This window comes from Homo sapiens, chromosome 13 (assembly GCF_000001405.40).
Source record: "Homo sapiens chromosome 13, GRCh38.p14 Primary Assembly".
NCBI classification, from domain to species: Eukaryota; Metazoa; Chordata; class Mammalia; order Primates; family Hominidae; genus Homo; species Homo sapiens.
Window position 1 is genome coordinate 36,186,364 of NC_000013.11, and position 24,597 is coordinate 36,210,960.

At 37.0% G+C, this 24,597-nt stretch overlaps 2 protein-coding genes across 3 annotated transcripts in view; both read right to left on the reverse strand.

Moving 5' to 3' along the window:
- CCDC169-SOHLH2 (CCDC169-SOHLH2 readthrough) overlaps positions 1-24,597 on the reverse strand; it is a 129,598-nt gene that overhangs the window by 18,147 nt on the left and 86,854 nt on the right. Inside the window, exons 7-11 of the mRNA NM_001198910.2 lie at positions 15,516-15,730; positions 7,443-7,504; positions 7,258-7,362; positions 5,432-5,531; positions 3,583-3,693 (exon numbers count right to left, since the gene is read on the reverse strand). Coding sequence (NP_001185839.1) covers positions 3,583-3,693; positions 5,432-5,531; positions 7,258-7,362; positions 7,443-7,504; positions 15,516-15,730 — 593 coding nt within the window. The remainder of the gene's footprint in view (positions 1-3,582; positions 3,694-5,431; positions 5,532-7,257; positions 7,363-7,442; positions 7,505-15,515; positions 15,731-24,597) is intronic.
- Positions 1-24,597, reverse strand: part of SOHLH2 (spermatogenesis and oogenesis specific basic helix-loop-helix 2) — a 46,340-nt gene that overhangs the window by 18,147 nt on the left and 3,596 nt on the right. For both annotated transcript variants that reach the window (NM_017826.3, NM_001282147.2), the window contains exons 2-6: positions 15,516-15,730; positions 7,443-7,504; positions 7,258-7,362; positions 5,432-5,531; positions 3,583-3,693 (exon numbers count right to left, since the gene is read on the reverse strand). In NM_017826.3, the coding sequence (NP_060296.2) occupies positions 3,583-3,693; positions 5,432-5,531; positions 7,258-7,362; positions 7,443-7,504; positions 15,516-15,730 (593 nt within the window). The remainder of the gene's footprint in view (positions 1-3,582; positions 3,694-5,431; positions 5,532-7,257; positions 7,363-7,442; positions 7,505-15,515; positions 15,731-24,597) is intronic.

Below are 24,597 nucleotides of genomic sequence, written 5' to 3' on the forward strand. Positions count from 1 at the left end.
AGATCTGAAACAAGGCACGGATGTCTACTTGGGGCTCTCCTCTGTATAAATGTGTCTCAAACAAACAAGGACTCACAGGGAAAGGTATCTGGGCCAGATACAACTTGGAACCCTCTGAGAACTGCCTGTTCTACCTTTCTTGAATCTTTAAGACTTGTCTAGTCCTGGAAAAGTCTTCATTTGTGGGACACTATGGCAAAGCTCAACATTTCCCTTCTTCTCAAGTGAATAGACACCCCCAAAATTATTACACCACCATCATGTCAGACTCATGGGTACACAAAAATGTGATGACATCATTTGGAGAATACACACTTTACAAGATAAAAACATGTTTATGTATTTATAAATATATAATGAATGGGATTTCACCAAGAATATAAGAATTAGCTAATTTTGATTAATATGTTCTAATAAGAATGCGAGTATCAGAGAAAAAAATTTCCCAAGTGCAAAAATATTGGCCAGAACCATCGTTTCCTTAACATTAGCAAACATCATGTTGCCCTACTGCTTAAAAACAAACAAAAACCCAAAACCATATGTAAAGCAGGTGAGTGGAAGAGGAGGAGGAAGAAAGGAAACAGACTAGAAGCAACGATTTCAGATTCACAGGCATGGTCAGAAGGGTTAAGAGGGAAAGACAAAAACTAATCAGGGATGGTGTTTACCTCCTGGGAGCTCCCAGGCAAATCTCTAAAGAGAAAGGGGGAGGTCCTTGTCACAGCTCTTCTTTTTGAGAAACAAAGATTTCTAGTCCTTCAAATAATGCCACAGATGTGAACAACCCCAAAGCATCTTTTCAGTCTACTAGATGAGTGGTTTTAGATTTTAGTTTTCATCAACCATTAAAATTTTAAAAAGAAAACTAACACGTAACTTTGGGGGACCAATAAAGGATTCCCACCATTAGATCTGGACATGAAAAATAATGAAAAAACAAGGAATAAATGTTTCCTCGCATCATTTCATTATAATCATTTGCTAATATCAACATTATTTTAACATCAAATAAAGTATGGAGAATACAATCTTAGGATATCAATTGTATAATATGTAGCTTTAAAAAATACTCAGTGCACTGTATTTTTCTCATTTGGCTTCAGATGAATGAGATCTATGGGACAGCACTGGCCAGCGGGCCCTAAGTCTTGACCTAGCAAGGCAGCAGTCATGGGAATGAAGCCCTTTAGAGCCAGAGTAGCCTATCCACCATCCCATCCCATCAAGCCCAAACCCCATCATCTTCCCACTAATCTTCAGCAGATGGAGGGGGACCATTCAGCAAAGAACTTGCTCAACTTCCTCCCTGATCGGGCCCCATCGAAAAATTCATGTGAATTCACATTGAGCCTAAACTCCTCCTCTCCATTTTCCATGGAAGAGACATTCTTCCACCCGGTTCTGGATTCCCTTGCCTTCTGCCTCCTCAGGGATGCTCACTCCATCACCAACACCTCCTCATCAGCTGCGGGGGATTAAAATTATTTGACCTTCCTCCCACTGACAGGTGGGGTCTATGTGCCTCCCCTTGGATCTGGGTAGACCCTGTGATGGCTCTGACCACTAGCATATGGTAGAAGTGGCCTGGGCCCAGGCCTGAAGAGACTGGCAGCGTCCCCTTCCTGTCTCTTGAAACACTCTCTCTAGGAGCCCTAAGCCACCATGAAAGAAGTCCAATGACACTAAAACTACTCTGCTGGAAAGGCTTCAGTTGACAGCCCCCGCTGAGCTCAGACTTCCAACCCATGCTGGCAAAAGTCCAGATACGCAATGTCTTGGACCCTCCTGACTGGACCATCCACCAGCTGAAAACTATGAGTACCTCAGTTAATGTCATGTAGGCAGAAGAATTGCTTGGCTGAGCCCTGCTCGAACTGCTAACCCATAAAAACATAGTTACAATAAAATGGTGGTTGTTTCAAGCCAGTAAATCTTGTTTTAATTTTTATGCAACCACAGATAACTAGAATATGAGGATCTTCAAAACTTCTTTCTCTCTCTCAGCTGCTTCTTTTGTAACATAAGCATATTAAAGTCTGGCCTCTTATCAAAATCTCGTACTTTACCCTCAGTCCCTTTGTAAATACTTCACACCTTCATTTCATCTGTGTTCCTGTCTTTCTTTCTGCAATGGTGCTTCTTCTCTAACCATACCAATGAAATTATTTTTGCCAAGATCAATGACATCTAGGTCTGGCTCAATACAAATAGTCAGTTACCAGCTCTTAACCTTACTTGATCTCTCTGCATCACATGATACTCCTGAGCACCTGTTCCTTTAGGAAATTCCTCTCCCCTGGTCTGCTCAATACCACTGCCTCTTGGTATTCTTCTTATCTCCTTAGTAACTCTTTGTGTTCCCCATGGATTCCTTCTCTGCTGCCTGTACCTTAAATACTGAGAATCTTTCTAAGGTTCTTTTCTCCACTAGTCCCTTCTCTACGTGCTTCCCACAATCATCCTATATCCATCCCTATGTCCACTGCTTCAAAGAAATGCTGTGTCCTCATTCCTCTGAGCCTGTATTTCTAAGCCTAGACCTTTCTCTAGAATCAAAGGGCCAACTCTGCACTCCAAGAGGTATTCAAACCTAGAAGTATTCAAGCTCAACAAGAGTAAAAATAAAAATATATTTACCTCACACTGCCATTCTACTGTCCTTCTTCGTCAGTGGATGGTGTCACCATCCACTTGGGAGTTACACCTCACTTATCCTTAGCCATGCTCATGCTGATTCTTCCTAGTTAATACATCTAGAATTGGCTTATTCCTCTCTATCTCATTGCTAACACCATAGCTCAGGAAATTATCATTTCTTATTATAGACTACTTCTGGCCTCCGGATGCAATTCACTGTGTTACATCCTATTAGAGTGTTCATTCTAAGGTATAAATCTCATCATAACACTCCTTTGCTAAAATCCTTTAGCAACTGCCCAACAGACTAGGTTATAATTTGAATTTCATAGCATGAAATACCCAGCCCCTACTTACTACCTCTCATCTTTTGCCTCTTCCCCCTTGTGACCTGATGGCCAACCATATGGACATACATGCAGTTCCATAAATTCACTGGACTCTCTAAGACTGCCAGCCTCTGTACCTATTATTCCCTCCATATAAAATACCCTTCCCTGATTTCCAAACCAAATTAATTGCAACGTGTGGAAAGCTCAATTTAGCTACTGCCATCTCAAGAAAACTTTTACTGTCCCCTTACTCTGTCTTAGAAAACTTTCCTAGTGTCCTTATTTTGTGTTCTCATCATGACATGTATTAAAAAGCATAATTTTCTACTTAATAGCCTATTTAAAAGTCTGTCTGAGCACTAGACTCAGAACACCTTTGAAGGCAGGGACTTACTTTTTATATCAGTTCTCCAATCCTTCTTTGGCATGCACTGCAGACTCAGAAACATTTATTGAATGACTACAAGGCTGAATGAGTGAGTGGCATCTATTTGTTTGCTAAGTTTACTAGTTTCACTTATACTTTTAATAATACTACAAAAAATTATAAAATTCATTAATTTCTCCCTACAAAAGAATAATGCTTAAAAAGTGCTATATTAAAATTCACCTTCTTAGTTTTTCCTTGCTTGAATGAAGAAGAGAGATCTTTTTGTTTTTCTCGAACTCTGACAACGAAGCATTTAATTCAAGCCCATTGCCATTCCTTAAAGATTCAGAGCTAGAAACAAGAGAAAATCACACCATACATTAAAGGGGAAAATTGTCGGGCAAAATTAAATAATACGCACCAATACACTAAACAAAGGATGCTTCTCTAAGTCTCTTGCTTCATACAAAGGGGCAATAAGTGTCAAAACACCATATCTTAGACATTTGGTGCAGAATGTTTATTTCAAAATTTCAAAAGAATATATTATCAAAATCATCCTAAATTCAATGACTGATCAAAATTCTAAAATAAATTGTTAACAATACATACAAGCAGGATTAAAACATTCTGACCTTATCAATTATGACTACACCATATTATATGACTATGCACCCTTCAGAAGGAAAGGTACATTACAGGAAAAAAGCATAAAGGATTAGAAGGACAAGATACACCCTAGGCCAACCCAACCAGCAAAGCGCAGGTTCCCTCCATTTTAAAATTTGTCATTTAATGGACATTTTCTGGCTCTACTATTTTTGCAGAACTTCTTCAGGCATTCTGATTGATTTAAAAATACATTAATCTAAGAAACTTGCAAACTAATCCTATTTCCTCTATCCTAAGAGATATAACTTGATTTGAAAATTTTATTTACAGTGGTAGGATACTGAGGGAAGACAGAAGGATTCAAGATGAGTAGAGATCAAAAAGCACATGCATACTATGTAGTCATAAAAACTTTTTTAAAAAGAAAAGCAGTTGCAAGTAATATAAGAAAATTAAGACCTTCCAAAACCTTTCCCAACCCCATATCCTAGATAAGGGTTAATACGGCAAGCCTCTTTAAGATTAAAATGTTAAATAAGACCAAGAAAGCTGTTGATATCTCTGCGTTACCAAAGTCAGCTTTGGTTTAACCACACTTACTGACTGCCAAGTCCCTTTCTTGTTCAAAACAGTAGATGGCCACATTCTACAAATTCTGGAAGTGACTAACTTAAAATTCTCACCATCATCAGTACGCATGCCCTCAGCAGTTATGTCCATTCTTTGTATCCCTAGGCTCTACTTAAAACCTCCTTGGAAATCAGCTTAAAGTGAAGGGAAGAAATTCACAAAAATTGAATTTTATAAGCATACTAGCATTGGAAGGAAGGGTCTGATCCCCAGTTCAACTGCCTACCCAATCCAGGTTTGAATGCCAGTTCTAATGTCTATGAGAGAGAGAGAGACAGAGAAACACAAGGAGACACAGAGACACACACTAAAACTTGCCTTGTATACCAAACAAGAAGATTCCAAAAGCTACATGAGGTACGTAAAAGATACTAAATCCTTTTTAAAGGGAGATTTTCAATAACTGGGTGGATAGGTTCATGAGTTCGAGAAAGACAATGGGAAGAAGCAGAGTAGTAGGTGTATAACAGGTGAGGCTGCTCTTGTCTGTTTAAATATTGGGGTTCCATGTAAAATTTTTGTTTGAGGAATTTCACTGTTTTTATGAAGTTTAAATACCACTGCGCTATTTAACTTTGCTTAGTGATAACATAGACTCTAATACTGATCATATTCCCCAATGATGGGGAACTCACTACCTTACAATTTGACCTGTTCCCCTGTGGTCAAGTCTAATTGTTTATGAAGTATTTCCTTATATTAAGTTGAATACTTCTGTAATGTGTACCCACAGTGCCAGCTCAGGATTCTTAAGTACAGCAAATGCTGCACCCCTCTTCCACAAAATAGCCACAATCAATAAGTTCTCTAAAAATATTGCTATTATGAAAAAGAACAAAAAACTAACCAGGCAAATAGATCAGTAGGAAAATATCCCAGGTGTTCGCTGTAGGACCTCTGCAGGGGCAATCCAAGTTCTTCAGGCCCAGTTGCGTTTTCAGTCTTAACTGAAAGTTTTGAGAGGGGAACTATTTATTTCTGAAGTCACTTAAGGAGATGACGCTAATCAAACACACAAGCCCCAATCCTTAATGCAGTTGTCTTTTACTCAATAGATTTTACAAAGCAGTATTTTTAAAACTGAAAGCAATTTATAGATTTCTGTGAAATATAAAACCACCTAGGTTAGAAAGCAAAAACTAAAATACTCTATATTATTTACCCCGGGATACCTTTAAGCCAGATTCTAGTCACTTAGTGACAGGTGTGCTTAAAACACATTCGACTGAGTTATTTATCAAGTTCCTATTTATAGGTAAATGTCAGGAGACAAAAAACACGCATGAGTCTTCAACAAGCAGCTGCACTGTCGAAATATAGCATCTGAAAAAAATTTTTTCCTTTTTTGCAGCTGCTCATCCTTAGAGCAAAGACGAGACAACTGGAAGCAGACATGGTCATGACCAACAGAGGGGCATGGGCAGGTGACGAGCAGCTGCTCTATTTCACTGAGAACCAAATAAGAAGAGGTTGCAAAAGCCCTCGGTCACCAAAGTTAGCCATTTCCAGGAAGAACCACAAGGGCTGGGAGCCACTGGAATGTCACAAACAGACTCACTCATCTGAATATTTAAAAAGAACATTAAAAAAGGACTGTTAAAGTAAATCTCATATAATCATTATCAGGAGAATCCAGAAAATGTCTTTCAGGCCCATTTTAAGAAAAAATCATCTTAATTTTGCCAGCTTTATTAAAGTATAATTGACAATTCGAAATTGTACATATTTAAGGTGTACAACTTGAGTTGATAATATACATATATATTGTGAAATAATCACCACAATCAAGTTAATTGACATATCTATCACGTCACATCGTTACCTTTTCTGGTGATGAGAACACGTAAGATCTACCCTCTCAGCAAATTTCAAGTAGACAATACAGTATTGTTAACTATAGTCACACTGTGTATATTAGACCCCCAGAATTTGTTCATCTTATATAACCAAAACCTTGTACCCCTTGACCAACAATAGTCCCAATTTAACATCATCTTAATTTTAAAAGATTTCTTATTTAGTATCCCAGGCCGAGAAAGACCAAAAATAGTCACTGACCAATAATGATTCCAGTAGAATTTAATTTCCGTAATTGGAGTCTGTCCTTTCACAAGCCAAATGAAAGCTAGTTTAATTAAAGTGTTTAGATACTGGTGATATGCTTAATATAATAGGCAAAGAGTTTAGAAATGTGAGGTCTAATTGAAGCATTGACATTAATCCTCTGCATCTAAAATCTGAAACAGAAAGGGCAACCACCCTATTAACTTTAAGAAGTAAAATAATTTCTATGCAAGTGTTTTGCAAAGAAGAAAGCACAATACAATTGTAGGTTAGGGCCCCTGGCTTTTAGATAATCACACAATGACACAGCACAGTTAATTCCATTTTAATGAGTAAGAAATTATGGTAGCTAGGCTACCAAAAAAGAAAGAAAAACAGTAACACAATGCTGCTTCAACCCCCCACCCAAAACCCTGTGCCTACCGCAGCACTGTATTTGCCCTTGGGCAACACATTCTAAACCTCTGAAGATGTAGTTTTTTTCTTTCCAGGTAAAGAATACATATTTCTCCCTTTATTTTATTTATGCTTGTTTTTGTCAGAATATATGAGCAGAGTTTTCAAAGATTTTAATTCAAATTTTGAAACCTTTGGAAATTTTTTACTCACCAGTGTTTGAGGGACATGTTGTCCAGTATTTTACCACATTACTCATTTTTTCCATTGTCAGTGGTTCAGTTAAAGCAATATCCATTCCATGCCCTGAAATACAACCTAAGAATCTTTATATTAAATATTGACCTTATAGTTTCTATTTAGAGAAAAAACAAATACTATATTTAGCAGGTACATACCTTTAAAATTTTCAGGGATTATAAAAACAAACAGTGAATGTGTATTTTTCTTTTTGCCAAATCTGAGAGAGGAAAGAAAATGTTAAAATGAAGCAAAATCATTATTCAAAAAATTGAGATTCAGGAGTTTAGCTTATTAGGAACTAACTACAGTGATTTTCTTCATTTCTTTAGAATTTAAAATAATATCATTAATATGGAAATTTAGTAAAAGTAGCATCTCAAATCAGTGAGGAAAGAGATGAATCACTTTTTCTTAAAAATGAAAAAAAAAAGCCTAAACTTTATCCAAATTTTTGGTCAGATCATCAGTTTACAAGAATTTTGTGGAAAGAAACATTTTAAAGAACATCATGGGAATGAAACAAGCAGAATCTAGAATGGGGGGAATTCTGTAAGACAAATGACTCCTTTTAAATATATATATAATTAAAGAACAAGACAAGAAAAAGGAAAGTTGAATCCTGATTTGTATAAACTCACAGTTTAAAAAAAATCATAAGGATAAGCAGGGAAATTTGAATGCTAATGGGATATTTGACAATACTAAGAAGTGATTACTAATTTTCAGGTATAATATGGGTTTTGTGGTTATTCTCTGAGTCCTCACCTTAGAGAGGTACCAATTAAAGTATTTATGGATGAAATAAAACAGTATTTTAGATTTGTCTTAAAATAATCCACTGGTGGGCAGGGGTGGGAAGGTAGGGAGAAACATGATGAGCCAGATGTGGGTAACCGCTGAGGCTACATTATGGGTGTATTATTATACTCTCTCCCCTTTTATTTCTTGAAATTTTTCAAATAAAACTTTTTTCTTAAAGTGGCATTATAGTTCACTAAACTCAGTACAGTAAGTCTGGAATTCGATAATTGGATGGATACTGAGCCTTGGCATTAGCCAAAATGAAATGATTTGCAGGGAGAATGTGACTGTGAAAGAGATTTTAAAGAGAACAGTTTAAAACTACCTAAGAAAAGCAAACTATTCTCAAATACTTTAAAACATCATTTATTAGCATGTGGTTACATATGGTTATTATTTATTTATTAAAATGAGAACTGGGATCACCCCCACTGTATAACATTGTTAGTTTATCTTACATATGCATTTGGAAGTAAGTATACATTCTATATTTCAAATTACATTATATATTAATATAAATTTATATATCTGAGTCATATATATTGAGAACCTCTTATGTGCCAGCTCTGTGCTAGGCTCTGGGGGATATCATGGTAAACAGACAGACAAGGTTCCTGCTCTCACACAGCTGGAGGTCTTGGGGCAAAAAGACATTAAACGAATCATTATAGATAATTTTATGGCTGAAAATGTGTCCAATGCCAGGAAGGAAAACCAAAAGGGCCAAGAGGAGTCCACGTCTGGGCACCAACCTGCCTCAGCAGCCTTGGGGAAGGCTTCCAGGCAGACAACCCTTGGTGCTGGCTAGACACAGAAAAGGCTGGGGAGAGGGGGAGGGCAGAAAGCAGATGTGCAGCACAGAACACTCTGGGCAAAAGGCACAGCATATGCAGGAGCCCTGGGGTGGTCGAGAACAGGTGAGTTTGAGAAGGTACAAGATGTCCAGGAAAGCTCTGGCACAGGGCATCTGAGGAAGAAAAGCATAAGTGGAGACCAAAGAGCGAGGGAGGGCTGGGCTCTGCTCACAGAAGGCCTGTTAGGCCACAGGAAAGGTTTGGTATTGAAGAAAAATGGGCAACGGAAAGCTATGAAGCTCAGGAGCAACCAACACAATTACATTTGCATTTTAGAAAGACCACTCTGCCTATGATGGGATGCGCTGATAGGGGTGACACAGGTGGACTGGAAAGACCCTAGGGCAGTGATCCAGGCAAGAGCTGATGGTAAGGAAAGCGGGCATACCCGTGAACCTTTGGTAAAGTTAAATATTTCAGAGTATTTACTAAATTAATTACTTCAGACTAGCAGGATTATTAAGAAAATGTGACACCACATTGACATCCATTCAGACTTGATTCTGTGCTATGAATTCTGGGGAGTTTAGGCTGAGAGAGAGGAAAGGAAAGAATATATGGTTTCTATGAGGAAATGAGAAACTCAGAATATTATCATCAAAATAGGCATATGCAGGAGGGAGGATAGAGTTTGCCTGGCCAACCAAATGTGGAGGTAAGAAAGGCACTTCCTACACTGGTGTAGGTGGTGTGGTGACACAGAGGGAATAGGGGGATCAGAATGATGCCTGCCAGGATGTCAGCATTTCATATATATATGAAAATAAATATATACATTTTAGACAGACAGAAAGATAGATAGATAGATAGATAGATAGATAATTTTTTTTTTTTTTTTGAGACAAGGTCTTGCTTTGTCACTCAGGCGGGAGTGCAGTGGCGTGGTCAAGGCTCACTACAGCCTCACCCTCCCAAGCTCAAGCGATCCTGTACCTCAGCCTCCCAGGTAGCTGGGACTACAGGTGTGTGCCATTACACTTGGCTATTTTTTTGTATTTTTAGTAGAGATGGGTTCTCACTATGTTGCCCAGGCTGGTCTCAAACTCCTGGCCTCAGGCAATCTTCCCGCTTCAACCTCCCAAAGTGCTGAGATTACAGGCAAGAGCCACTATGCCTAGCCTCGTATACATATTTTTAGGTGATGAGAAAGTGTGGATTATAACGGAGGTACAGACAACAGAATGAGGAAAGAGAGGTGAAAGGGAATAATGGACTGAGCAGATGGGACTGAAAGAAAATTATTGGGTAGTTTAAATGTTGAAATAAAAAATACTGCATAGTGGATTCAAAAAAGTAAATTATCCTAAGTTAAATACAGTTAAATGATTTTTTAAAAACAGGTTGTTTGCTTTTAGAAATCTTCCTATGTCCATTTTTGAAAACCCGACTTTTCAAAAATTTGAAAATTAATTTTACTGACACAAAAATATGTAAGATATGGATATATGGATTTATATGCCCTGATGACTTTCAAATTTCAAGCTTTACATCAGACAAAGGTGGGATTCTTGGACTTTTGTTATTAGCACAGAATCAATTACCAAACACACACTCCCCCTGCTATATAGGGAACTCCTGCAATCGATAAGAGTTCCCAGAATCCAATACTCTGGTCTTAAGCTCAGCTGTTCATTCACATTCCCTACAAATCAATAAGCTAAAAGAGTTTCTAGTTTCTAGGATCAACCAGAAAATGTTCTCTTTTTTTGTGAATGAATATTCCTTGAAACAAAACTAAGCAATGCAAAAACAAACCAAAATAAAAATCACTTTTATCCACACCAACTGATAGTACTTCCTCTTCTATATACCAAAATCAAACTGTAGGCTCTGAGACCTTCTCAATTAATGTCTCTTGTGTTTGCAATTTATTTGGGGACAATCCATTTTCCCTCATGTTTCACGATTACGCTGTTTAAATGTCATGATGTTTCCTGAGGCTACACCTCACTTTTGAGATTGGATACTGATATTCTGGGTTCCATTCCTATGCCTGCCTGCAGTGCCCTCTAGAACTGGAGCCAGCATCGCTCAACCTGCAGCAGTACCCACCCACTGTCTTGCCCCCATCCCCGGATCTGTCTCTGGTAGCTGAAAAAACAAAGATCATATACAAGTGTTTTGAGCTGAGTTGTACACTCTGCTGATCAAAGGGTCTCAGGAAAGCCCTGGCCTCTGAAATCTATCATCTAAGAGGGCCAAAGGGTGTTATAAGTCCCTATGAAGCCTGCGGAAATTTCTACCTTTACTTCTCTTAGAGCCATAAGGATTTCCAGGGACAAAAGCCAGTATCATCTTTGGGTTGTGGTTTTCTTGAGTACAGTTACCCACTATTCTGTCCGTGGGCTAAATGCGGCCAAACTAACCTGGTATGACCTACATGGGACTTGTAACAAATAATGTTCTTTGTTAATTACTTAATTAAGCTCTGATAGTTTATTCTGGCTAATAGTGAAGAGTGGTGTGCCCTGTTCCCACTCGGCTCTCCCACAGAGCTCCTGCTGCAACATTCACCATGTGACATGGTGCTAGAAGTTATAAAGACCTGGAGTTGTCTTCAGTTCCTATTCACTTCCTCCACCAATTCGTAGGACAAAGGTTTTAGTAAAGCTACTTAGATGTTTTGCTGTTACTGTGTTTATTGTCGAATATTCAGAGGAGTAGGTCATGTAAACTACCTAGTAAGATTTAATGAGTTACATTGTCAAGTCAAGGATGTCTTGGAGACATAAAAGGACAACTTGTTAGATCTCCGTGGCTCACAAGATTGGGTTTTCTTAGTGATCAGTTAGCTGGTCAGACAATTAAAGCTACATGGGGAAGAAATGAAATCAGATTCAAACTTGATTTGTTGACGGAGCAGATGGAGCCACATCCTGCGTTCCTTTTCTGTTGCTAAACTGCTCTGAGCTCATGAGAATCACAGAATTTTAACTGCGGAACCATTTCATTGAGAAGAAAACCGCAACTCCCCATATACTGACGAGTTTAAAACATATTTAAACTTTCTGTACCTGTCTTTGGAAGATAAGTATCAGGATGTGTCTGAATTATCAAGTATCTGCCCTTTGAGTATCCTCAATTGTGAAAACTTATCCAAGCCAAGAGTGAAATATCCCTGGAATTCTGGAGCTAAGCATACGAATCCTAAGATTATCTTAAAATATGTCACCACTAGGTAGTGTCTGAGTTCATCTGCTCAATAAAAATATACTCTTTCAATACATTCTTGAGATGAAAACAAATTAGGCAGTACTATCAGGAACGTTAACCTATAAGTGAGATGTGCCATAATTCTTGAGAAAGTCTGTAAAGTACTGATATTTTATGCATGATTAAAGTCAGTGAATGATTAGCACCTAGCTTAAAACATAGTTTTGTAAGATTAAATTTAAGAATCTTTTAAGGAAGCTGCTTTCATTTTATTCTAAAATAAATCTAATATTATAGCTAACAGGCTAAACTTCATTCTTATTTTCAATAAAAATCTATATGTCTTACAGATGTATAGATTTGTGATCATGTGCTCTAATACTGAACATATATATGGCCACTTTCATTCTATCATCAATTCCTCATTCATTGACAGGAGACATAAAGCACCCAGAGAAACAAGAGTAAGGTACGTAGTTGTACATTTTCCTAGACCTACATAGCTTTTGAAATATTACCAGACAACAACAAAGATCTAAAGAGAAAAATTTAAAATACAGCAGAAGAAAAGTAGAGCCAGGCTTTTCATTTTGGTTTAGTCATTAAATATTAGCCCAAACTCAAAAGATGTAGTGCTTTAGGATAGATGAAGGTTTAAACTCCTTACAAATGGGGCAGTACATGTACAAGACTCATTACCATAAGAAAAACTATAGGTTGAAAACTGGAAACATCCTCTACAGGGGTTTAAACAATTCATAAACTCATAACAATTCTGAGGGCAGGAAAGGCAACTTCAGAGACATTCATAGCCTCTGAGGACAGCACCATGAAAGCAAAGCTTACACACCCTCACACACACACACACACACATAACCAAACGACTCTGTCCCCTTGCAGAGAGGAGCAAAAAAGCTAGAAGGCATTGCCTGCCTAGGATGGCGCTTCTCCCACCCATCCATACAGGCATTCACTGGAGCTACAGCAAGGCAGATAACACCTGCTGGTAGTCAAGACCTTCACTGGGTGTTGGGAATAGTGCAACAGGAGACAAACAAGGAATACAAGTCCAGGTGTATTCCACAAATTATTTGTTTTCTTTCAAACAAATGATTTCTTTTAAGGCAAAATAACAGAACTACCGTTTGCATAGCTATACACTTGGTACCTTCATCTACTTTCTTTTCTCTGCTAAGAAATCTTAAGCTATGTTACTCAGGGCAATAAAAGCTGCTGAAGTGAGTATCAGACAAGAAATTCTCTCCTCTAACCTTCTAGGTTTTAATATCTGCAGCTAAACATAAAGCTGGTTCTTAAACAGAACTTCACTCTTATCTTGTTCAAAAGGTGGCTCTGATAGTGAGCAAATGCAAAGCTTTACTCCATTCAGAGAGGCATAGCTAGGGTCCTAATCTTGGAATGAAGAGAGAGACCAGCCATATTGAATTGTCTGGGGCTCTTTCAAAACCATATCTATGTTTGATATACACCCAGCTTGGCACATACTGAACCTCACAGGTGAAAAAGAGGTGGTTTCAATACAAAAGTCAATTAATTACAGACTTCTAGAAAGAAAATGAAGGGAAGAGTAGAGTTCTCATCTAGTTTTGTAAAAATGAGCCATGTGGTCTTAGGCAAGTCACTTCAGCCTCAGTTTTCTCATCTGTCAAGTAAGGACAATAAAATCCTGCTCCACCTGCCTCATGTAGCTGCTGTAAAAAATTTTAAAATATGATATAAATGAAGTATTATGATGAGTTCCCAGCCAAGGGAACTCCCTTTTTTTAAGGCTTGTAATAAAATAAGCATATTCTCAGAAGTAGGATAGTTTACAACAGGTTTTAGAAGTGGAATTCACTTTGAGGTAGATAGTTTGCCTGATGTGTCTAGAGTTCATATACCTTGTAGAAAGCCAAAAGAAATGCAGACCAGTTGTTCTAAGAAACCCCAAGAGTAGTATCTGTCTGTCTGTCTCTCTGTTTAATAAGTAACTTGATGGCTTGGGCTTCTCATTTCAACCTTTCTTTTCCCTTAACATACTTTGCTTGCCTGTTTATTCAGGGATCAAAATATTGTCTCTGAATTTTTTAGCCAAAAAAGAGGCTTATCTTGTAATGCAGAGAAGCTCTCATATGTTCCAATATAATTGACAATTCCACTTTATCTATTAAGTATTTCATGGAAGGAGAACAAATTTGCTCTGATCTAACCCTATCTAAATACATCCTAAGTGGCAGGGAAGAATCTAACTCTCCCACCACTGGGCTCCAATTTTCTAGAGCTGGAGTGGGTTAAAAAGAAGCAGAACTTGGCTAGGCATGGTGGCTCACCCCTGTAATCCCAGCACTTTGGGAGGCCTAGGTGGGTGGATCACGAGGTCAGGAGTTTGAGACCAGCCTGACCAATATGGTAAAACCCCACCTCTACTAAAAATACAAAAATTAGCCAGGCGTGGTGGCACCTGCCTGTCATCCCAGTTACTCAGGAGACTGAGGCAGGAGAATCACTTGAACCCGGGAGGTGCAGGTTGCAGTGAGCCGAGATGGCGCCACTGCACTCCAGCCTGGGCAACAGAACGAGACTCTGCCTCAAAAAAAAAAAAAAAAAAAAAAAGAAAAGAAAAGAAGCAGAACTTATGTGGAACTGCAAGACGAAACAAGAACACTGGAGGTGGTGGTTTCTGGACCCAGTGAATCCAGAAGGCCCCATGGCTCCAGGAGACACCTCAGTCCCCAGCTAACAGGACAGAGAGCTAAGAGTGCTCACTTCCTTATTAGTGTCTGCCACTACAATTAATGAACTCTGGAAAGATGTACCATTTTAATGATACAGTTATTAAAAAGGAGTATGTGTGGGAATAATGTAAGCATTGCATACTAAATAAATTTCTATGACAAATTGATTCTTACATTCTAATCCGTACCTATTTTCAAGTTAAAATAATTCCTTATAATAAAATACCACAAACTGGAAATAAAAACAACATGTACATAGACTCTCCCCATGAAAATATCCCTCATTTTTTTTTTTTAGAAATAGCATCTCACTCTGTCGTCCAGGTTAGAGTACAGTGACATGATCATAGTTCATTGCAGCCTTAAACTCCTGAACAATCCTCCCACCTCAGTCCTCCCAGTAACTGGAACTATAGGTGCATGTCACCATGCCCGGCTAATTTTTTAAAATTTTTTGTAGAGACAGAGGTCTCACTATGTTGCCCAGGCAGGTCTGGAACTCCCGGGTTAAAGCAATCATCCCACATCGGCCTCTCAAAGTGCCAGGATTACACGCATGAGCCAATCCCTGGCCCCTCAATTTGAAAAGTAAAATAGAAATATATCATCTTTTTAGGAGTTTTTAAAAAATGGGTTTTTAAAAAAATGATTCTAAAGATACAGCATCAAGGCTTTTGAAGTTTACCTAATTAACTTGATGGCTTCCAGCTCCTCGGCACTTAGTGAAGAAGGCACCTTCAAGAGAACCATGTTGAATATGCAATCATCCAAAAGCGCTGCTGCCTCCTTCGTGTCACTGATGGTGATGGTGACTTCTGCTATGTTTGCAAATAGTTTCTGTACAGTATCAGCCAGGTAGCCCACAGTGACATCTCCAACTAATAAGATGTCTATTTTTGCCTGAAAGAGAAGGAAGCAGAGGCGTCACATAATTATTGCCTAGGCATAGGGAAAATGTCATGTATGAGAGGATAAGATAAATAAAGCTCACAAATAACACAACAATTGACTCCATATCTAGTCTGACTGGCTAGATGGTCAACTATAAGCAGCTCAAGGACAGGAACTACTAATTTCACATCTTCAGTACCTAGACTAGTGATTAGATCTGAAGGTCACCCTGTTTTTAAACATTTTGCCTACCAATGCTATTCTACTTCAGTTTTTCTGCAAATTTCTCTCTCATCCTATTAAATGATAGAGTTCTTATGACTCAGTTTTCCAAAAGTCTTTCCTGCTGGAAAATCTGTTTATTGCTGAAAGGATCAAAGTCATGACTCTCCCACATGATTTATTTTGGTGAAACACACATTCCAGGGAACAGAGAAAGATTTAAATTCCTAAATCATAAGAAACACTGAAATAAAGTCCTTTCAATGGAATATATGTGCTATTCAAACCTCAATATTAGGAACCAAAAAGGCCATTTGCATTTGGAGATATTTTCAAGTATATTCAATTAGGAAAAAGAGCATTCCCAACTTCATGTTTTATTTCTGTATGTTTTATTCTCTACAGCTAATGAACTCAACCCACTGAAAATGCCAAAGAATGGGGATGCTTAAATTAATGGAAATAGAAGACAATTGGAAATGCCAGGCCATAGACATCTGTATGAGAAAACAGATTTGGGAGGTGATTAGAGTTGAAGCTAAGAGTGAGGGAAGGGGCTGGAAATACTTGTACAAAGAGAAAGGCAGCTTGGCAAAGAAGCAACTCCACAGGGCAGGATGCTGGTGTAAGTGGCCCCGTGGGGCTTCCTTCTCTTTTCAGCCTGGTTTCCTGAGGGTTGCAAGAAAGAACAGGTGAGGTGCAAGAAACTAGGCAATAGTAAAGTAAGCAAAGCTTTGGCACTTCCACCTGCTCACCTAATTTTCTTCCTTTTTTTTATAAAATAGTCAACCTTCCTTTACCATCTCTCATATCCTAATTCAATCCCTTCTCTGAAAGGAACTGCTGTCAAGAGTCTGGTGTCTATCCTTCCAGATGATTTTTGTGTCAAACATATAAGTACGATACACACATACATAGCTTTTCATAAATGGGCTGTTAGTATTTTTTGAAGTGAGTTGCTTTTTTCATTTAACAATATAGTTCAACAATTCCTCAAAATTTCTGATTCACTGGGAACATTCTCATTTTCCAGGCGGTTATAGATTTATTCTCATAAAAATACGTTTTCTATTATTTGTTGGGATCAGGGGTAAATGTGCTCATCTGTCATCTTGATCCAGTCTTCCTTATTTTCGATGATGACAATTGATTGAGACATTCTCCCAGTGTTGGGTTTTGATGTTATTACGGTGCCATGATGAATACATTTATAAATACATCTGTGTGCAAATAAGCATATATCCTCGAATCCAAACTAGAAAATCAGAAAGTAAACTTTTACTTGTTTTGCATACTCCAAAGGATACAAAAATTTATATCCCCGTAAGCAGTATATATGAGTACTCATTTCCCCAAACCCTTAATAAGACTGATTATTCTTAACCTTTAAAAAAATTTTGTATTGTGAGCAAAAAATCTTATCCTTTTTATTGGCATTTTTTGAATGAATGGAGTACCTTTTCATTTTAGTGGCAATTTGCATTTTATTATCACATATTTATCATGCATGCCCATTTACTCCCTTTGCTCACCTTCCTATTTGTGGTTTGTATTTTTCTTATTGCTTTGTGGGAGTTTATACAGTCTGGATATTAGTCAACCACTTTTTTTTCCAGTCTGTCACTCTGCCTTTAATTCTTTTTTTTTGTTTTTTTTTTTTTTTTTGAGGAGTCTCACTCTGTCGTCCAGGCTGGAGTGCAGTGGCGTGATCTCGGCTCACTGTAACCTCTGCCTCCTGGGTTCAAGAGATTCTCCTGCTTCAGCCTCCTGAGTAGCTGGGATTACAGGTGCCCACCACCATGCCTGGCTGATTTTTTTATTTTTAGTAGAGATGAGGTTTCACCATGTTGGCCAGGCTAGTCTCGAACTCCTGACCTCGGGTGATCCGCCCACCTTGGCCTCCCAAAGTGCTGGGATTACGGGTGTGAGCCACCGTGCCCAGCCCTTTAATTCTGATTATAAGGTCTCTTGTCACTAATAAATATTTAATATTTAGTAACAAATCTACTGTTTCCTTTATGGCTTTGGTGAATTTTATCTTGCTTTCAAAGCCATCTCCATTTATGTTAAAATATGCTTTGGTAGAGTATTCTAATACTTTTAAGGGTTTATTTTTGCATTTAGCTTTTTATCCCAGCTGGAGTTTATTTGGTGATGAATATGAGGTAGGTATCTGCTTTCAGTTTTCTTTTTTAAATGCAGAACTAATTGACCCAACAGGATTACTGAACAGACTAACCTTCTCTCAGTGTTTTCAAGAGCGAAGTTTTCACAATGCCAGGTAGGGGTGTGTGGGGGTGTGTGTGTGTTTCTGGACTTCATTCTGATCCACTGATCTATTTGCCTATTCCTGGTTAATACCACACTGCTTAATTACTAGCTCTTTATAGTGTGTTTTGATATTTGACAGAGCATGTTTCCCTGTTATTTTTCAATTCAGTTATTATATATTTTCCAACAATTTCTCTTCCAACAGAAATCGGCATCAGTTTGTCAAGGAACCTTGTTAAAGTTTTAATTATGGTGGCCTCTATTTTAACAGTTAATTAGAAAATATTGTTGCTATATTAAATCTCCGTATTTAGGAAGTATGCATCTTAGAGAATTTGGGTCTATTATGATCTTCAGTTTTATGGACTTTCATATCGATTTTGCATGTGTCCTAGCATGTATTCCCAGATATGTCCTACGTATTCCCAGATATTTCAACCTTTGGAGGTCACTGTGAAGGGGATCTCTTCTTACTCACTACATTTTCTGATTGATTATAGCTGACATATAGAAGCGCTATTGATTTCTGTATAAGGAACTTGCTTCAAGTAATGCACTTTATAGTACTCTCTGTTCAGTTCCAATACATTTCCATTGATTATTCTCAATTTCCTAGGTAGGCAATCCTACCGCCTTCAAAAAATTACACTTTTTTTCTCTATTTCCAGAACTTATGCCTTTTATTTGACTTTAAAGCATTGGCTAGAACATCCAAAACAAAGGTGAATAACAGGAGTGACAGTAGGTGTTCCTGTCTTGTTCCTGACTTTAGTGGGAATATTTCAAATCATTTTACTACTAAATATGATACTTACTGAAGATTTCTGATCAATATCCTTTATCAGTTAAAAAAGTTTCTATTTGGAAGCTAAGAATTTTACATCAGAAAAGGGTGTTGATATTTATTAAATGCTTTTTCAGTATAACATGATTTTTTTTTAATTCTTTGATCTGTTAGGCAGTGAATCATATTAATAGATTTCCTAATGTCAAGCCATCACAGTATTGCTGGGATAAACCTATTCATAATGTGTAATGAATTCAATGCCTTCACCTTTAGATTTTTGCATCTATGTTCATAAATGAATCTTGATATAATTTTGTTTTATTGTATTGCCTTATCTTGTTTAGGTATCAGGGTTATGCCAGCCTTGAAGAATAAAATATTGTTCTATGGTCTTGAATAGTTTATAAAACACAGAAATTATCTGCATCTTAAGTTTAGGTAAAACATGTCTAGAAAATCTGGTTCTGAAGACATTTATAGAGCTGGATCTTACATTTCATTTTATAGTTCCTTATTGATTAATGGTAAATTGAAGTTTCTCACCTTCTCTTAAATGAATTTTGTTCATATACATTTTACAAATCCATTTCATATGGAGTTTTTATATTGTTTAATGTTTTAATTTTAAAATATATATATAATACCTATTACTGGTGTTGAGTTCATTTTGCTTCTTAACTATAAATGTTTATTTTTTTCTTTTTCTGGTAATGCTTTATTGAGAATATAGAACTGTGTAGTCCAATACAGTAGCCACATGCGGCTATTTAAACTTATGTTAATTAAAATTAATTAAAGTTTGAAATTCAGTTCAGTTGCACTAGCCATATTTCACATTCTCAACATCCTCATGTGGTAAGTGTGGATTATCAGACGGTATAATTACACAACATTTTCATCATTGTGGAAAGTTCTATTGGGCAGCAAAGTAGAGGATCTAAATTTTCCTCCTAGTGGCATTTTGTTGTACCCCACACATTTTTATATATAGTGAGTTCATGTTCATTCATTGCTAATTAGTTTATAATTTCAGTTGATAGTTCCATTTTAATCTAAGACTTTTATTAAATACCTATATAAAGGTGTTTTTAATTTTCAAGGCAATAGTATGTTTGGTTTTTTATTTTTTTGACTATTTGTTAGTTGCTCATTTCTTATTTCAGTGCATTGTCAACAATGAATGTGTCCTGCATGACATCTACTTTTTAAAATTTGTTGACATTTTCTTCATAGCCTAATACACAGTTTTTGTTAATCGTCCATGGGTACTTGAAAACAATACCTGTTTTCTGTTGTGCATAAAGTTCTATATATCTTTTAGAACAAAATTGTTAATTCTTTCTTTGCTTATATTAGGTCTACTTGATCTTTCCGTTTATGAAAGAAGAGTATCAAAATCTCCTTAATTATGGTTTTGTCAATCCATCAATTTCTCTAATCATAGGTTATATTTATAATTATGGGTTAAGTACATAAAGGTTCATGATAATGATATTATATAAATATATAACTATAATATTTAACAACATATGTAATCTATGTTTACATAGTATGTTATTAGTGTATATATATAGATGATTCTATATAGCAAATACTACTATATAAAACATACCTCCTTGCCCTTTAATGTTTTTCACCTCAAATTTTATTTTTCTGATATACAGCTTAGTTCTTCATACCCCCTTATTTTAAACTTTTCTTTATCATCTTTTCTGTGACTTTTGTAAATAGCTTTTAATTGAATTTACAGTTTTTACAAGCTGATCTTTCAGTTTTTAATGTATGAATTTAAGTAATTACATTACTGACATTAACTAGTGTACATTAACTTCATTAATGTAATGTAATGAATTAGCTAATATCAATTAATTGTGAACATTTACAATTTAATGTGAAATGACCTTATTCCCTTTCATTTATTATTTCAGGCTTCCTATTTACTGTAATTTTTTTTTTCCATAGCTACTCTTAGGCTGATCAAATTTTCATTTTTCCATCCTGTTGTTCCTATAATGCTTTGGGAGTGAAATCCCTAATTTTTATACCTTAAGTGCTTAATTGTCTTTTTATTTGGAATTAATTTGACTTACAGAAGAGTTGCAGAGAGGGTATGGTGAGTTCTCATAAACATCTGACTCAGCTTCCCCAAATATTAACATCTTACAATCATAGTATGTTTATCAAAACTAAGAAATTGTGAGAAAGAAAACCCTAAGAAATTAATATTAGCATAGTACTATTAGCTAAACTACAGACTTTATTTGAATTTCACCAATTTTTCCACTGATAGCCTTTTTCTGTCCCAGGATCCCATCTGGATAATAGGTTGCACTTAGTCCTCGTGTCTCCTAGTTTCTTCTAATATGCAATGGTTTCTCAGTTTTTACTGGCTTTTGAGGAGTGCTGGTCAGGTATTTTGTAGAGTGTCCCACTACTTGGATTTGTCTGACGTTTTCTCATAATTAGACTGGAACTATAGATTTTGGGTAGAATACCATGGACATGAGCGCCCCCTTCTTATGGTGTCATATATCAATGAGAGATTTCCAGGGAGGTTCACCTTGGTCGCTTGGTTAAGATGGCGTCTGCAAGGTTTCTCCACTGTTAAGTCACTTGTTTATCCTTTCCACATTCTTGTTTTCAGAAGGCAGTCACTAAGTCTGGCCACACTCAATGGAAAGGGACTAAAGTACCACCTCTTGGAGGGAGGAATATCAAACAATTGTGGATGTACGTTAAAACCATCACAGTAATTAATAAATATGTTAGTGGAGATGGTTTGAGGCTTTGCAAATATCCCATTTCTCCTGAAAGTTATACCCTCTGTTCCTGCCCTTTATTTGTGGATCTTGCCTGTAGCAATTATTACTATGACATTCCATTGGTGATTTTCTATTTCCTTCCATCTACATTTATGATTTGGAAATCTTATGTAAGGAGGATATGTTCCTTTTCCCTCATTTACTTATTTAGTCAATTGTTTATTTAAATCAGTAAGGACATATTTATTTTATTCTTTGGGTTACAATCCAATACTATCATTTATTTTGTTACTCAAATTACTCCACTTTGGCCGCCAAAATTTCAGAAATACTTAATTATTAGTAAGTATACATAGCCATTTTCAATTAAGATGTAGAGTTAATCTAAATCTACAGCCTCTCTCCAAACAAGGCAGCATCCTTAACATGCCTCCCTCCACCCCATATACTTCCCAAACCATGACTATCTGGAATTTTAGTTCCAATCATTATTAAATATTTACATTTTTATTAACATTTACACTTAATTTTTTGTTTCTCTGAGTCTCACAGTTTCTTGTATCTCATATTTGCTTCTTTCTTGGATTCATTTTACTGAATTGCCGTACAGGCTCAGAAAATTATTTAAAGACCGTCTGATAGCATCAGAGTCCTACCAAGTCTGAAAACATCTTCACTGTGCTCTCACAATTCAGTGCAAGTTTTACCCAGCAAATACTTATAAGGTCAAAATCACTTTGTCTCTGAATTTTCCTTCTGGAATCCAAGTTGCTAATGAAAAGAATAAGCTGCTTCGTTCCTTTGGATGCTTTTCTCCTCTTTTTCCTCTGCATTCTGATAGTTTCTAGGCTGTGTTTAAGTATATATCTTATTCATCCTACTTGGCACACAGTAGCTCTGAAAATTTTCTTCTCTTATTTCTTTATTTCCTCCTTTCTGTTGTCTTTGTCTCTCCTTGTAAATCTTCTAAGAGATGCTGGATGTCTTAAATTGATCCTACATGCCTTGACTTCTCTCTCAGAGATTTCTTCATTTTTCAGATTACCAGCTTAGTCTTCACTCCTTCTAAGTATTTTTTTATATAATTTCAATCCATTTAATGTGAATTACTAATTTCTAAGATTTTTTGGGTAATTTTTCATAACCTGCTATTTTTAGGATGTGATATTCTCTCTACAGATACAAATTCAAATTTTAGAAGTTTTTTTTTTTTCTATTCCCTTATGTCCTAGTTTATTCAAGCTGCTATAACAAAAGACTATAAACTGAGTGGCTTATAAACAACAGAAATTTATTTCTCAGCTCAGAGGTTGGGAAGTCCAAGATCACAGCACTGGCAGATTAAATGTCTGGTGATGGCACAATTTCTAGTTCATAGATGGCAATTTATTTGTGTTCTCACATGGTGGAGAAGCAAGGGATCTTTCTTGGGCCTCTTTTATAAGGCACTAATCCCATTCACAAGGGCTCCTCCCTTATGACCTAATCACCTCCCAAAGACCCCACCTGCTAACGCCATCACCTTAGCAGTTAAGATTTCAACATATGAATTCGGTAGAGGGCACAAACATTCAGACTACAGCACCTTAAAAATCTGTCTCTTCAATCGTTCAGTGTGTGCATTCGTCTAGTTCTGTTAATGTCTGTCAATCCTTTGTTTCCAAACATAAATATGAATCAAGAACTAAGTGGGTGTGAACAGGCAGTTTCTCCTGCAGCTGAGGTGGTGTTTCCTCAGTGGGGGCCTCCTTTAATGGGACAACTGACTATGGGTTTGGTGAGAGTGAGCAGGATGAGTGAAAGCAAAGGCTGGAGAGCAGAAAGGCTGGCGCCAGCTAATTGTCAAAATCAAGGTGGGCTCTACTCTGAAGACCAAGTATGTTAGTTTATTTTCCTCCTGGAAAGAACTGCCTTTCCTTTCCTCTTTCAGTTACAGAGATCGGGAAATTACTCATACCAGGAGTCCTCATCTCATGTATAGTTCATTTTCTTTAGAGAATAGTTCCTGAGTTTTATCCTTAAGTTAAAGGCACCATTGCTCCTGCTTTAGTAGGAGTGAGCTGGGAGAGTCCACAGGGTAAATCCAGGGGGCCAACCTGGCCTGGGAGTTCTGTACCCAGCTAATTCAAACCAGGTGAGCACCCTTTGGGCTACTTTCATCTTTGTTTCTGTCAACATTGAGCCTGGACTATCACTAAAATTGTTTTATCACTGCATTTCTTCTCTTTGTGTCTTTTAAGCTGTGGATTTTCTACTTTTGTTTTAGGTGTAATTGGACCCCATTTGCTTTCTAAATGTCACATTTTACTGTGTATTTTTTTTTTTAACGTTCAGAGAGAAGTTGCTTTGTTCAAACCAAGATCCCATTAAGAACTATGCATTGCATTTGGTTGTTGTATCTCCTTGATCTTTTAATTTGGAATACCTGCCTTCTTATTTTTCCATGATATTTACTTGAAGGAATCATCACATTTTGAAAACATCTGCTCTGGAGTTTGGGGTAGATGGGGAGGTTGACCTGTGTGCTCAATCATCATGAGCCAATCTCCTTCACCTGCAGTACCCTACTCTAAACAGGATACCAATTTAAACTCCTTAGCATGGTGTTTCATAGCCTGCTACCAACCTACTTCAAACTTATTTCCTTCTACTTCCCTCAATACTCTATATTCCAAGAACACAGCACAACACTTTTAAATGAGCTTTGAAATATGTAATTTCTACAGTAGAGAGCGTTGGGGCCCTACTAGTGTGTTTCCTTTTCATTTTATAAACACTCCTCATTTCCAGCAGCACTTTAGGAGCAGCATGGGACTCTAAGCCTTTGTGATGCC